Source organism: Homo sapiens, chromosome 9 (assembly GCF_000001405.40).
Source record: "Homo sapiens chromosome 9, GRCh38.p14 Primary Assembly".
Taxonomy (NCBI): Eukaryota; Metazoa; Chordata; class Mammalia; order Primates; family Hominidae; genus Homo; species Homo sapiens.
The window spans coordinates 137,360,899-137,375,336 of record NC_000009.12 but is presented as its reverse complement, the minus strand read 5'-3'; the positions used below and the strand labels follow the sequence as shown (position 1 = coordinate 137,375,336).

Below are 14,438 nucleotides of genomic sequence, written 5' to 3'. Positions count from 1 at the left end.
AGAACTCACTAGGGTTAAAACTAGGGTTAGGGCCGGGCGCGGTGGCTCACGCCTGTAATCCCAGCACTTTGGGAGGCCGAGACGGGCGGATCACGAGGTCAGGAGATCGAGACCATCCTGGCTAACACGGTGAAACCCCGTCTCTACTAAAAATACAAAAATTAGCCAGGCATGGTGGCGCGCGCCTATAGTCCCAGCTACACGGGAGGCTGAGGCAGGAGAATGGCGTGAACCCGGGAGGCGGAGCTTGCAGTGAGTCGAGATCGCGCCACTGCACTCCAGCCTGGGCGACAGAGCGAGACTCCGTCTCAAAAAAAAAACAAAACTAGGGTTAGAACTCACAAGAGCTACAACTTACTAGAGCTGGAACTCACTAGAGCTATAACTCATTAGGGCTAGAACTCACTAGAGTTAGAACTCACTAGAGCTAGATCTCACTAGGGCCAGGACTCACTAGAGTTAGAACTCACTAGGGCTAGGACTAAGTTCCTGGAGCTCCTTCAAGTTGCTTCAAGTTCCAGATGCTTGAGATGCTCAGGCTTTGTTTAAGGGCGGCTTTCCTTTTCTTCCCAGAGTCCCGAGGGACAGAGAAGCTGCCTTTCACCCTGTCTGGCCACTTTCCCCGAGGGGCATCCTTTGGAGGGTCTGGACTTTGCAGCCTTGCCTCCCGCGCCTTTGGGCATGGCACCCTCCTGGACAGCGCTGAGGTCTCCTCACACACTCATGTGCGTGTGCTCCACGGCTGTTCCTGGGTGTTTGTGGGGAGATTTGTCAGGTGCTGGGAGCCTTTTGTTTCGGTAAGCTTTCAAATCGCCGGAGCAAGTGCTTTCAAAGCTGCGCGGCAGCCTCAGGATGTTGCTCCTGGAGCCCCGTGGAGAGCACACCATCCACATCGCAGGGACGAGAACAGCGCGGCCCACGCTCTCGGCTTGCAGCCTCCCTGGGCCTCTGGGGGCGCATCCCGTGGCTGGAGCCAGCAGCTGGGAACTCACCCTCTTGCCCACCTGCGTGGCCGTCGGCTTCAGGTCGGGTGTCGGCTGCTGCGCCCTGTCCCGAGCGCTGAGCTGTGAACCCGTCCACCCCTTTAGCTGTTAAGATTCTACCTGCGGAATGACCTGCAAGCAGTCGTTATGGCTTGAAGTCTATAGCGGTTGACTCACTTGCAGGAATCCACAGAGGACGGCGCCGCTGAGGCTGCTGCACAGCAGCGAGGGCCAACTTGCTGTAGAATCTTCCGGAAGCCAGAGCCCAAAACAGATGCTTTGCTTCTCTTCGTCCACCTCTTATCCGTTTCCCAAATCTCCTGCGGGTCAGGGATAGAAAAGTACATAAAAGGCATTTTTCAGTTTGGGTTTCGGTTCTTGCCTTTCAGTTTCTTTCGCCTGCTGAGGGCAGGCCAGGCCCGTGTCCCGCGAGTGCCGCAGGTAAAGTGACTTGTGAACCTGTGGCTCGGGCTACGGTTGCCTCCCAGGCCAGCGGCCCTCTGTCTGCCTGGAGAACAGGCCCTCTGTCTTTATGGGATAATTAGTGCAGACAATGACCACCGCCCCTGGGGGCCTGGGGTGCAGCGGACCAGAACGGCGGCATGAAAAGTCACGGAGGCGCAGATGGCGGCTGAATGGCCACAGCTACCTTCTGAATGGATTAAATTTTAAAAAACCTCTCTGCGGTGGGGAGGCCTTGCCAGGAGGCTTTGAGTGCAAGACAAAGTGCCAGTGTGGTTTTGTGTCTCCACAGCTCCGGGAGGAAGCCTGGCGGGGGTTTGCTGCCTTGGACGACCCCCTGGCCGGGCTTCTGGACATGCTGGAGAGCTGCCGGGGCCAGCGGGGAGAGGGCCCCTCCCTGGCGGCCTGGATCTCCCACCAGCTGCAGTGCTGGCTACAGGCACAGCCATGCCCGAGCCTGGCCCAGGTGAGCCCATGGGTTCTGTGACAGTCACCTCCCTTCCTGCCCCTGCCCCTCAGCATAGTGGACCCGGCATCCACCTGCCCAGGCCTTTGCAGCCCGCTCAGCAAGCCAGGGAAGGGGAGGGGGATGCTGGGGGCTATGGCCAAGACTCAGCCCGTGGCTTCACCCTCTGCCCCCTGACAGTCACGTGCTGAGACCGGCCTCGCCCCTCCCGTGCCCCAGCCCTGCAGACCACCCGATGCCCACACATGGCCACAGTGGCAGGCGCTGCTTCCTAAGCCAGGCCTGCCTCAATCGGCCCCATGGCCCAGCCACTGGGTGCTGCGTCCAGTAAGTCTGGGTCCCTGCTCTTCCAGCACAGCCTGAGGCTGAAGCAGCTGCAGGCCCGAGCGGTCAAAGTCCTCACTGAGAGCCCCCCCAGCCTTGCGGCACCACTGGCCAGCATCTTCCAGCTGCAGGATGCAGACAGGAGCTGCCTGCTGGCACACGTCCACCGCCTCCACCACGAGGGCAGGTTCAGAGAAGTGAGTGGCCCACGTGGCCGGGCTCATGGGGAAACGGCTTCTCGGGCGGTGGGGCAAGGACGCGCCTGGCTCAGGGCCGCCTCTGTGTGGGGGCTGTTTGGGGCTTCTGGTCTACATGGAGGTATCAAGGACCCGGCCGTGGGCAGCCATCAGCTGTGTGCGGGGTGCCGGGTCCCAGGAGCCCTCAGGCTGCCTGAGCCAACAGAGATGTCAGGGCACAGCCTGGTCCCAGGCCTGGGTCTCCCCCTGCCGACCCTGTGTCTCCCAGCATGCACTGGGCCCTCACACTCACAGGGTCCTAGGTGGGCCTGGGCCTGAGCTTTGGTCCAGCCACGCCCCACCATGTCTGTTAGCCTCTGCGCCTCCGGAACCTTCACAGAATCAGCCAGTAGGCTGTCCTTTGTGGGTGAGTTTGCCTCCTGGGCACTGGGCACTGACTGAGTCCCCGGCACGGCAGTGAGCGCCCTGGAAGGAAACGCTCCCAGAGGGGCCGAGCAGAAGAGCTGTGGGAGCAGCTGGTGCCGGCCCCGCCTCCCACAGCACCCCCAGAGTGGTGCCCACTCACAGAAGCCCAGAGTGGGCAGTGCCGGCGCCTGGGACACAGGACAAGGTTCAGGGCCAGGGCACCAGTCGCACCTCGGCACAGTCGCCCAGGTGCGAGATGCGTCGGATCAGTATCCAACCCTTCACTGGCTGCTGGCGGGAGAGGTGGCTTCGGTCCCTTTCGGTCCCGGGCCAGGTCTTAAGTGGTGTCGCAGAAGTGTGGGCTTGGCAGCTAAAGGTGTCTGGATGAGAATTGGTGGAGCTGTTGGAATCACAGTGGTTTGCTGAGTCTCCTTTGTGAACAAGGCTGATTTTTAAGCCCAGAAGGTTCCAAGAGGAAGACCAGGTCTAGCATCACAGCCCCGTCGTCCTGAGCCTGGCCAAGCTGTGACTTGGGTTTGTGTGGAACAGTAGGGAGCAGTGGGGCCTGCAGTGGGTAGGGAGGCGGCCGTCTTGCGTGGGGTGGCTCTGAGCTGTTCCTGCAGGTGCAGGGGAGCCCCCATGACTTCTCGGTGCCCTGAGATTCCAGATCCCAGTGCAGATTCTAGGGTGCAGCACGAGGTGCGGCAAAGAAGCCCGGGGGTGTCCTGCCAGGGGATGTCCTGCTTGGGGGTGCTCGGCCCGGGGGTGCTTGGCCCAGGGGTGTCCTGCCTGGGGGTGCCCAGCCCCGGGGGTGCCTGGCCTGGGGGTGCTCAGCTCAGGGTGCACTGATCATGTATGAGGAGGCCGGCACTCAGGGGCACTGGTCCACTCCCCGCCCCATTAGGGCCCCCTTACTTCAGGGCCGAGCGTGAAGGCCACCACCCCGCTGCCTGCCCACGTGGGACCCTGCTGCTGAGACGCCGTCCCGATGGCACCCTGGGTTCCTCTTCCCAGCAAGACCCCTCACCGTGAGGAGGTGCATTGGAACCTGGGCACGGGCATCGGGGGCTGCCCTGGCCGGGCCCTCACAGGAGTGTCCCCTGTGTGGGCCGCGCGGGCCCCACCCCTGGCGCTGTCACCTGCCACGCCCGGGGCCGTCGTCTCGCGGCGGGTGCATGGCGCTGAGAAGCCACCATGTCCCGGCACAGGACAATGCAGGATGGAGGGTCCCCCTCATGTGGCGCGACGCTGAATGGCGGCCGTGCCTGCGGAGAGTGCAGGGAGGCAGAAGGCAGGCTAGTGTTTCGGGCCGTCTTCTGTTACAGAGCCTTTCAAAGACTGTCTGGGGCCGGCTGAATGCGCCTCCCTCGCGCTCCGAGGCAGGAATCCCCACACAAAGGGGGTCTTGTCCCGCACAGGCCCCTTCTGCGAAGAAAGCCATTGTCCCCGAGCGGGGCCGCCCGGCAGGCGATGCATGCTCCACTGCTCACCGCCGCGCCCGGCCGAAAGAGGCCGCATTCAGGCCTGTCCGCTCGGATTAGCTGGGACTCACGACTCAATGTGCTGCGATATTTCATGTCGAGGGCAGCGGCTGGCCCTGGGCAGGATGAATGCCTGCTTTTGTCCGCTGAGTTATTTTATTTACATTTTTTAAACAGCTTATCAAGGTAAAAAGATAGCTTTGCTTTAAAAAAAAAAAAAAAAAAAAGGCCCTCTTGGCTCCAGGCCCACGCAGAGGTGGGAGGCAGGGCTGTCGCTGGGGTCCTCGGCCTTCGAGCCTGGGCACCTGCCCAGCCTTCCTGCCCCTTAGAATGGGGGGCCCAGGGGAGCCGGGGAATGCCCTTCCCGATGGTCGATACCACAGCCCCTCCTGATTTTCTTTTTTTTTTTTTTTTCCTGAAAGCAGCAGCTCCTGGGCCTGTCTAGAGGTTTCTACAGCCCCACCCCGACCCCGCCAGCTGGACAGCCTCGTCTCTCTCTTCCTGGTGGATGCCTCCCATCCTCTGGCAGCAGAGGTCGGGAAGGTCTGCCTGGTGCAGAGGGGCCCAGTTTGCCCCATCTGTCCTCATGGCCCAGCCCCGGGCTCGTTCCTCCCACGGGGTCCAGGACTCTTCACCTTCTGCTGTCTGCTCCCTGGGCCTGGCTCTGGGGCCAGGTGACCTTTTTGTGCCTGCTGAGTTTCCCAAGTGGCCAGGCATGGACAGTGGGCAGCTGTACACCGTCCTCTCAGGGAAGTTCAGACAGAAATGACCAGACGCTGATTCTAAGCCAGGCACCACCACAGTGAAAGGGCCAGCAGGGCCCCCAAAGCCTGAGACAGGGGTCAGGCCAGGGAGCTTCCTGGAAGGGGTGGGTCTGCTACTAGCCACCCCCCAGCCCCCCACCCCTGTCACCAGGGCTGCCCATGAGCAAGCCTGGGCTCTGCCCTTACCAGGGTGGAGCTAGGGGAGCTCCATCCTCGTCCTGTCCCCCAAGCTGCGAGGCCACAGAGCCCCCACTGGGCTCCGGGTACAAAATGTGGACACAGATGCTGGGGGCCCCAGGACGCCTGCATGTCCAGAAAGCCCACCTGGCCTCAAGAGGCCCCGGGTGCCCAGAGAGCTTCTGTGGGCCTAGAAAGAAAGGTCCAGACACCTGTTAGCCCTGGGCTCTGAATGGCCGTGGTGAAGAGAAGGGCTGAGCTGGGCACTTTGAACTGCCTCTGACGGGGTCGCAGCGTGCGGGACACAGAGGCAGAAGCCACCCACCTGGGGAGCACGGCCAGTACCCAGCCCCACCCAGGCTCCTCTGCAAGCCTGAGGCGGCCTTCTTGGGCTCAGAGGGGTTCCTGGTTGGGTGGGGCCCGCCGAGGGCTGGGACTGGAGCCTGAAGTCTGTCCCTCGGAGGGAGGCTGGGGACAGCAGCGGTGAGGGAAGGCCCTGGCCACCTGCCCCTTGCTGTGTCCCCAGCCTCCCTGGTCCCAGCGTCACCTGCTCAGGGCCTGGTCCCAAGGAGGTGCCGGGCGCAGCCCCATCCTCCACTTCCCTGCACCTGACAATAACCACATGCGGCAGGAGGAGCAGAGGGCGGGCGGGTTGTGACCACCCTGCGGTTCTGAACGGGGTGAGGTGTCCGGCCCTGCACCCCTGCCTTCCGGAGCTCTGGCAGCTTCTCAGGGGGTCCCTGATCCAGAAGGGATCAGAGCCCTTGTGTGAAGCTGCGGGTGTCACTGCTGGGGTGGTCCCCATGTGGTGGCCCCTGCGCCCATGCTCACAGCCGTAAGCCCACCTCCCAGGCCCTGCGCCCCTCCCCATGTGGTGGCCCCGTGCCCCTCCCCGGCCCTGCGCCCCTTCCCACGGCCCTGAGGCCCCGCCCCGGCCCTGCGCCCCTCCCCACGACTCCGAGACTCCCACGCCCCGGGCCCTGCGCCCCTCCCCACGGCCCTGAGACCCCCTCCCCGGGTCCTGCGTCCCTTCCCCTGACCCTGCGCCCCTCCCCACACGGCTCTGAGAAGCCCCCCCACCCCGCCCCGGGCACTGCACCCCGTCCCCCGGCCCTGTGCCCCTCCTCACGGGCCTGAGACTCCCTTCCCGGGCCAGGCGCCCCTGCCCACAGCCCTGGGGCCCCGCCCCGGACCTTCGCCCCTCCCCACGGCCCTGAGACCCCCGCCCCGGGCCCTGCGCCCCATGGGCCTGGTGGAGGCCTAGCCTCTTGGACCCTGGCCAGACAGTAGAGGCGCCGGGTCAGCGCTGCGCAGGGAAAGGCCCCCGGCCCTGCGCCCCCACCCTGCGCACCGGGGCTGGAAGCCGGCTCGAGGCTTTCCCAGGCCGCTATTTTGGTCCTTTCTCTGGGCTGCGCGGGGGCGGGGCGCCGATGCTCCGCGGGCTGCTCTCGTGGGTCATTTTTGCTGGCTATGGGAGCGCGGCTTATGGAAATTATTAATAGCAGCTCAGGCCCGTGGTACGTGCAGGCGGTCAGGGCCCGGCCGTGCCCCGATCGCAGCCAGTGTGGCCTTGGAGCGCTCGCGGGGTGCCCGTCTCCGCCTCGTGGGAAGGGCTAGGACCCCCCAGGCCTCAGGATGCGCTGAGGCTGGGGGTCCTCAGCCTTGGCCCGTCCACTGCAGGCACCATTGTGTTCTGGGGCCCGCAGATGGGTCGTGTGGGAGGTCACGGCTTTGCGCCTTGCCTTGACCCCACCTCCTAGCCTTCCTCTGGCTCATCAGCAATCCCCGAGCAAGGCCCTGGGACCCAGGCTGTGTGGCCAGCCACCCCCTTGAGTCCCTGCTGCCCCATCCAGGCCAAGCCCAGGCCTCCCACCTGTCCCAGCCTATGCAAGGCCTGGCTCAGCACGGGGGGGCTTGTCTGCCAGGCCAGGCCCCTCGGCCTGAGGGCCACGTGGCTGAACACGGGAAGGCCCTGCACTCCGGCCTCAGTGACCAGGTGCTGGTGCAAAAGGGTGGTAGCCCCCTCACCCGCCGTGCTGCCTGGCCCCTCCCAGGCCCTGAGTAATCTGCCGCCTTTGTGTTTGCCAGGCAGCCACGCTGGGCGCGACGTTGAAGCTGCAGTCGGAGCTTGGCGTTGAAAAGGTGAACGTCTTTCTCATGTAAATTGTTTAGGTTCAAACTTGGATAACGCCCAGGTCTCTATAAACAGTGTTTGTTGGAGGTCGGGAGTCCACCAAGCCACAGTGGGGGACAGCAGGGCCATCGGGGGCCGGCGAGGGCCTCCAGAGCCCCCTAAACCACCATCCTCCTCATGGGCTGACCCCAAATCAGACGCAGCCGCACGTACACGAACCCCGTGTCCAGCTGTCCCCTGAAGCCCTGAGTGTGCTCCGTGCAGCAGCTGGGGCCACCCCTTCCCTGGAGTGGGCACCAGCTGCCTCGAGGACACGCAGCCCATGTGCTTCTGGGACCCTCCTCTGCTGCACGCCTCCACCGTGCAGTGGGCTGGGGGAAGCAGTCACCTAACTGTGAATTTCCGGACAGATGACACAGTCCTCGAACCCACAGTGTCTGCAGGGATGGCAGATCCAAGCTTCTACAATGGGACTTCGTGCACATCACAGGGACACAAGGGGAACCTGCTGGTTAAGCAGGGGCAGGGTGGGGGAGTGAGCACCCCTCGGGCAGAGCCAGGTGGGGACGGGACGCATCCTGGTCTCCCTAAAGAGGGAGGGGTGTCTACACAGCCTGCAGGGCTGTGCTCCGGGCGATGGGTGCAGACTCCAGGTCTACAAGAGCTGGGGCCAGAGAGGGCTCTTGGGGCTTCGCGTTCTGCCCGAGGACTGTCCCCCAAGGCACTGCTGGGCAGGTGGGCCCCATGCAGTCGGCGCCAGGCAGCCTCACCTGTGGGGCAGAGGAGGTGGGGGAAGGGAGGTGAGGAGTCTTCTTCGAGGGGCGTTGTCTACGGGAATTCGTTCTTGCTGAGGGAATGGCTGGTGTGCCCCAAGGCCCAGCGCCACAGCCAGGGACTCCCTCAGGGCCTCTTGGAGGCACCGACAGCGTGTGGGTCTTGCAGACCTGCTCGGGAGGCAGTGCTGGTACCATGTGCCACGAGAAGGCATTTCCGGACTACCAGGGCTACTGCCAGTGGTTTGTCTTGGTCCTGCCTCCCCACATTTGGTGACAAATGAGCTTCCCCAGGGTCCCCCTTGCCTCTTAGGGCCTCCAGGCCTTCATCATGGAGATGGGGATGGCCACAGAGCCCAGCAGGAGCCTTGGGCGAGTGTGTGTGAGCGTGAGCACTGGCCGGGCGAGCACTGCTGGGCCTGGACGGCCTCTGGGCCCCTTTCGTTCTGACACTTTGGCCGCTCCCTCTGGGTTGGAGGTGAGTCAGGTTTTGGCTGAGGTGGCGGAGGCTGTGGCCTGACCGTGTGTCCCCCTGCAGATGAGCATCCCACTGCTCCTCCAGGACAAGGTGGCCCTCGTGGAGCGCTATGTGGCCGGCTTCCCGGACCTCCAGAGGAGGCTGCTGGTCCTCATGGATTCCTGGTGCCAGCCCGGCTTTGACATCAAGGACGTTGCCAGGTGAGTCCCGTGGGGCGCTGGCAGCTGGCACCAGATGGCATCCTGGGAGCCCTGGTTAGGGAAGGGAGTGTAGGGGGGCAGCAGGCGCGTGGGAGAGCTCTCCCCAGGAAGTTCTGGTGTTTGGGTCACAGCTGCCATGTGACTGCAGCTGGAGCAGCTGCCTCTGGAGAGGAGCGGCTGGGGCTGGCAGGAGCACAGCCCTCTTCTCCCGAGTGAAAAGAGTTAACTGCTCTTAGAAGAACGAAAATAATTCTCCGTGGTGGCTCTTCTCATGCAGGCATGGCAACCGTACTGCTTTCTTGTTCATCCATTCCTTTGTTCTTTCATCTAATAAAGTTTTTGGAAGCACTTGGTGTGTGACGTCTGTCAGCAATTACAGAGAAAAGGCAGCACCTGACAAGGAGCCCATATGGTGCCTGTATGGATTCAGGGAAGCCATGTGCATGTGTGTGCATGTGTGTGCATGTATGTGTGTGCCCATGTGCATGTGTGCCTGCAGGTGTGCATGTGTGTGTCTCTGTGTGTGCACGTGATATGTGCGTGTGTGCACGTTTGTGTGTGCCTGTAGGTGTGCATGTGTGTGCATGTATGTGTGTGCCTGCAGGTGTGTGTGTGTGCATGTATATCTGTGTGTGCATTGTGTTCGTTTGTGCAGGTGTGTATGTCTGCGTGCATATGATGTGTACATGTGTGTGCCTGCAGGTGTACGTGTGTTTTCGTGCATGTGGTGTGTGTGTGCATGTATGTGTGTGCCTGTAGGTGTGTGTTTGTATGTGTGTGTGCATGGGTGTGTACGTGTGTGCATGTGTGCCTGTGCATGTGTGTGCGTGTGGTGTGTGTACATGTATGTGTGTGCACGTGTGTGTGCCTGCAGGTGTGCGTGTGTGTGCATGTGTGTGCGTGTGTACCTGTGTGTGCACTGTGTTCATGTTTGTGCAGGTCTGTGTGTGCATGCATGTGTGTGTACGTGTGTGTGCCTGCAGGTGTGCATGTGTGTGTGTGTGAGATATGAGGGATGACATCTGGGAGGGGAGGGGCTTCCTGCTCTATATCTGGTCAAGGTGCCCCGAGAGTGAAGCAAGCTGAAAGGTCTGTGAAGGCTCCAGGGCCCATCCACTGGCAGGCAGATCCCGGCCTCCATTCCCCACACAGCCCCAGGGTTGTCTCACTGGAGAGTCACAGGCTTGGACTTGGACGTCAGGCCGTCCCGGGCCCATCCTCCTCCACTTGTCCTCCAAGTCACTTCCACTTTCTGAGTTTGTTTCCTCATTCGCACAATGGGGCTGAGTCCACCTGACTCAAAGCTTGCTAAGACTTTTCATCAGAGGGAGCAGGCAGCAGCCGCACAGCGTCAGGCCAGGCACAGGTGAGCACATAGTCGGTTGCCATCGATCCTATTACTTAAAAAAAAAAAAAAAGACATAGGGCCGGGCTCGGCGGCTCACACCTGTAATCCCAGCACTTTGGGAGGCCGAGGCGGGTGGATCACAAGGTCAGGAGATTGAGACCATCCTGGCTAACACAGTGAAACCCCGTTTCTACTAAAAATACAAAAAATTAGCTGGTCACGGTAGCAGGCGCCTGTAGTCCCAGCTACTCGGGAGGCTGAAGCAGGAGAATAGCGTGAACCCAGGAGGCGGAGCTTGCAGTGAGCCGAGATAGTACCACTGCACTGCAGCCTGGGCGACAGAGCGAGACTCAGTCTCAAAAAAAAAAAAAAAACATAGAACAAAACAGTGAATGCATTGATGGAGGTGGGAACCAGGGGTCTCATTGCGAAGAAAAGAAATATACACGGAAACTGGGAGGGTGAAGAAGACCCTGCAGTGTTAGATTTCATTGCAGATATTGGTTTAAATTAATGATTTTTTTTTTTAGATGAAGCCTTTGTCGCCCAGGCTGGAGTGCAGTGGCGCAATCTAGGCTCACTGCAACCTTCACCTCCCGGGTTCAAGTGATTCTCCTGTCTCAGCCTCCCAAGTAACTGGGATTACAGGCATGCACCAACACACCCAGCTAATTTTTATATTTTTAGTAGAGACGGGGTTCCACCATGTTGGCCAGGCTGCTCCCGAACCCCTGACCTCAGGTGATCCACCCACCTCAGCCTCCCAAAGTGCTGGGATTACAGGCATGAGCCACCGCACCTGGCCTAAATTAATGATTTTTAAAATTTTTCCTAGCTCTGTGCTCTGAAAGGGCCTGGATGCAATGATACCCCATAGCCATGAGCATGACTGGCTGCCAGCTCTTAGTCACCAAATGCCATTCTCCGCTGAAAGAAGCAAGGGCTTTTCAGAGAATAGACTGAGCACAAAAATGACAATGGTAATGGAGTAGAACACCTTGACTTTTAAAAGTCCACGAGTCCACAGTGATGCCTAAGGGAAGTAGGGAGGAAAGCTCTTCTTTACAACATCTTCCAGCTAACAGATGGAAAAGGAATGACAAAATGAAAAATCACCATATTGCAACTCTCAATAAAGTAACTGATTCAGGCATAGATCATCAAGGGATGCTAAGAAAGAAAGAGATAAAAATATAAGTGATGAACATCAGGAATGAAAGGGGGGACATTATTACAGACCGTATAGACATTAAAGTGGTCGTAAGGGGATATTGTTTGCAACTTAATGCAAATATACTTGACCATTTAGATGTAATAGACCAAATTCTTGAAAAATACAATTTACCAAAACTGACACTAGCAAAAACAGAACACTTAAATAGTCCTATATATCTATTAAGTAAATTATATCCACAGTTTAAAGCTTTATCACAGAGAAAACTTTATTAGAACCCAGATGGTTTCAGTAGTGAAGTTTTCAAACATTTAAGAAAGAAATTGCACCATGGTTGGATGCAGTGGCTCACACCTGTAATCCCAGCCACTTTGGGAGGCCGAGGCAGGCGGATCACCTGAGGTCAGAAGTTTGAGAACAGCCTGGCCAACATGGTGAAACCCCGTCTCTACTAAAAATACGAAAATTAGCCAGGCATGGTGGCAGGCACCTGTAATCCCAGCTACTCAAGAGGCTGAGGCAGGAGAATCACTTGAACCCAGGAGGCAGAGTTTGCAGTGAGCCGAGATCACGCCACTGCACTCCAGCCTGGGTGGCAGAGGGAGATTCTGTCCCAAAAAAAAAAAAAAAAAAAAGGAAATTGCACCAATCCTGTATGAACTCTTATAGAGAATTAAAAAAAAAAAAGCGCAGCCCAACTCACTTTATTCAGCTTAAACTCAGAAGCCAGAACTCAAAAAGGACATTAGGAGGAAGGAAAACTAAAGTCCAACATATTTCATGAGGATAAATGTAAAAATACAAAACAAAATATTAGCAATCAAGTCAACTAACATATTAAAGAATTAAGAGAATGAGAGGGCTGGGTGTGGTGACTCATGCCTGTAATCCCAGCACTTTGGGAGGCTGAGGCAGGCGGATCACCTGAGGTCAGGAGTTCAAGACCAGCCTGGCCAACATGGTGAAACCCCATCTCTACTAAAAATACAAAAATTAGCCGGGTGTGGTGGCTCATGCCTATAATCCCAGCTACTCAGGAGGCTGAGGCAGGAGAATTGCTTGAACCCAGGAGTCAGAGGTTGCAGTGAGCCGAGATTGCGCCATTGCACTGCAGCCTGGGCTACAAGAGTGAAACTCCATCTCAAAACAACAACAAAAACAACAACAACAAAGACTGAGAAGACACCAACAGACTGGGAGAAAATATCTGAAAAAGATGTGGGATAAAGGACTGTTATCCAGAATATACAAAGATCTCTCAAAACTCAGCAATAAGAAAATGAACAACCCAAGTTAAAATGGGCAAAGGGGCCGTGCACGGTGGCTCACACCCAGAATCCCAACATTTTGGGAGGCCAAGGTGGGGCAGATCACTTGAGCCCAAGAGGTCGAGGCTACAGTAAGCTGTGATTGCACTGCTGCGCTCCGGGGACAGAGTGAGACTCTATCAAAAAAAAAAAAAAATGAGGAAGTTCCTTTCTATGCTTAGTTTGTTTAGAATTTTTATCAGGAATGTATGCTGGAATTTATAAAAATGACTTTTCTATTGAGATGAACACATGGTTTTTCTTTATTAATCAGTTAGTATGATGCATTTGCACCATTTAATGTTTCTATGTTAAACCAACCTTACATTTTTGGGATGGACTGCACTTGACCATTATGTATTCCTTTGGGGTAACTTTTATTCCATTTGCTTAAATTTTGTTAGGGATGTTTGCATCCATGTCCATGAGGGATCTTGGTCTGTCATTGTCTTTTCTTGTAATATATTTTTACTTTTGGTATCAGAAAAATGCTTGCCTGATAGAATGAGCTTGGAATTACTCCCTTGCCTTTCCATTTTCTGGGAAAACTGTGTGTAGTTGGTATTACCTCTAACCTCTAACCGAAAACCATTTTCCTTAAAATAGGGCTATTCGGATTGCCTATGTCTTTTTGAATGAGCTTTGGTTGTTTTTGTCTTTCAGGGAATTTGTCCATTTTATCTAAGTTGTCAAACTTATTGGCTTAAAGTTGTTCATAATAGTCTCCTGTTATATGTTTATTATCTGTAGAGTCTGTAGTGATGTCAATGCTCCCATTCCCAGTGCTGGTGATTTGTGTCTTTTTGTCCTGCAGTAATTCTATGATCTATGTCATTTCTAGGTCAGTTTCTACTCATCACATTTGGCCTCATATTTCCTCTTCTCTGCATGCCTGGTAATTTTTTTTTTTTTTTTTTTAAGACAGAGTCTCGCCCTGTCGCCCAGGCTAGAGTGCAGTGGCGCGATCTCAGCTCACTGCAACCTCCGCCTCCCGGGTTCAAGTAATTCTCCTGTCTCACCCTCCAGAGTAGCTGGGATTATAGGCTCCTGCCACCACACCTGGCTAATTTTTGTATTTTTAGTAGAGACGGGGTTTCACCATGTTAGCCAGGATGGTCTCGATCTCCTGACCTCGTAATCCACCCACCTTGGCCTCCCAAAGTGCTGGGATTACAGGCATGAGCCACAGTGCCCGGCCTAACTTTCCCCTATTTCTGAGGCAAGAGCCTTCTTAGAACTATAGTCAATGCCCCGCCAATTAGGAAGCTTTTAAAACTCTGGGTCTTGGGAGCAGATCCTGTTCCCAGCTCTTTGTAAGGCTTGAAAACTTTTCCCTGTAATGTGTTCAGGTGGCCCTTCCTCTGCTTTGTGTGAGTTCCTCACACGCAGGGTGCTCTTTACTTGGGCGAATTCTCAAGGGCGCTCCCTGCAGAGCTCCACAGCTCTTTTTCTGGGCATCTCTTCTCTGCGAACTCAGGGAAGCACCCAGTGTCTCCTGGGTTCCCCTTCCCTCGCATGTTGCTGGAAGTTTCTCCAGGAGGGAAGATGGAGCGATTGGCAGCCTCGCTTCCCATCACTCGGGCATCACTGCCCTGAGCCACCTGTTGCCTAATGTCTGAGAACTGCTGTTTTTATTCAATACTGTACCAAGGACCCATGCCAGGCGGGAAGGCAGGAAAATAAGTGCAAAGACCGGGTACAAAGAAACAACTGTCATTTTCTCAGAAGATATGTTTTTATATGTAGGGAAGGAAAACCAAAAAAT

The 14,438-nt window shown here is 57.1% G+C and overlaps 1 protein-coding gene across 10 annotated transcripts in view, besides 3 other annotated features; it reads left to right on the top strand.

Annotated features, from left to right (window-relative positions):
* Positions 1–14,438, top strand: part of EXD3 (exonuclease 3'-5' domain containing 3) — a 116,267-nt gene that overhangs the window by 47,826 nt on the left and 54,003 nt on the right. For 5 of the 10 annotated variants that reach the window (NM_017820.5, XM_047423544.1, XM_047423543.1 and 2 more), the window contains exons 4-7: positions 1,738–1,911; positions 2,265–2,432; positions 7,348–7,401; positions 8,705–8,844. In NM_017820.5, coding sequence (NP_060290.3) covers positions 1,738–1,911; positions 2,265–2,432; positions 7,348–7,401; positions 8,705–8,844 — 536 coding nt within the window. Of the gene's footprint in view, positions 1–287; positions 726–1,166; positions 1,325–1,737; positions 1,912–2,264; positions 2,433–7,347; positions 7,402–7,803; positions 7,954–8,704; positions 8,845–8,975; positions 9,193–14,438 lie in introns of those variants that run through there. The other 5 variants (NM_001286823.2, XM_047423546.1, NR_104598.2 and 2 more) reach the window with 4 other exon arrangements.
* Positions 4,923–5,112: a silencer, noted in NCBI's record as "fragment chr9:140264677-140264866 (GRCh37/hg19 assembly coordinates)". NCBI's record gives its function as "represses an EF-1alpha promoter that drives an FKBP-Casp9 reporter gene in an ReSE screen in K562 erythroleukemia cells {active_cell/tissue: K562}" and the evidence as "EXISTENCE:reporter gene assay evidence [ECO:0000049][PMID:32094911]".
* Positions 5,594–5,794: a silencer, noted in NCBI's record as "peak7347 fragment used in MPRA reporter construct". NCBI's record gives its function as "represses an SCP1 promoter by STARR-seq MPRAs in K562 erythroleukemia cells {active_cell/tissue: K562}" and the evidence as "EXISTENCE:reporter gene assay evidence [ECO:0000049][PMID:32103011]".
* Positions 6,498–7,099: an enhancer, noted in NCBI's record as "H3K4me1 hESC enhancer chr9:140262690-140263291 (GRCh37/hg19 assembly coordinates)". NCBI's record gives its function as "activates a minimal SCP1, AML or CMV promoter by ChIP-STARR-seq in primed H9 embryonic stem cells {active_cell/tissue: H9 hESC(primed)}" and the evidence as "EXISTENCE:reporter gene assay evidence [ECO:0000049][PMID:30033119]".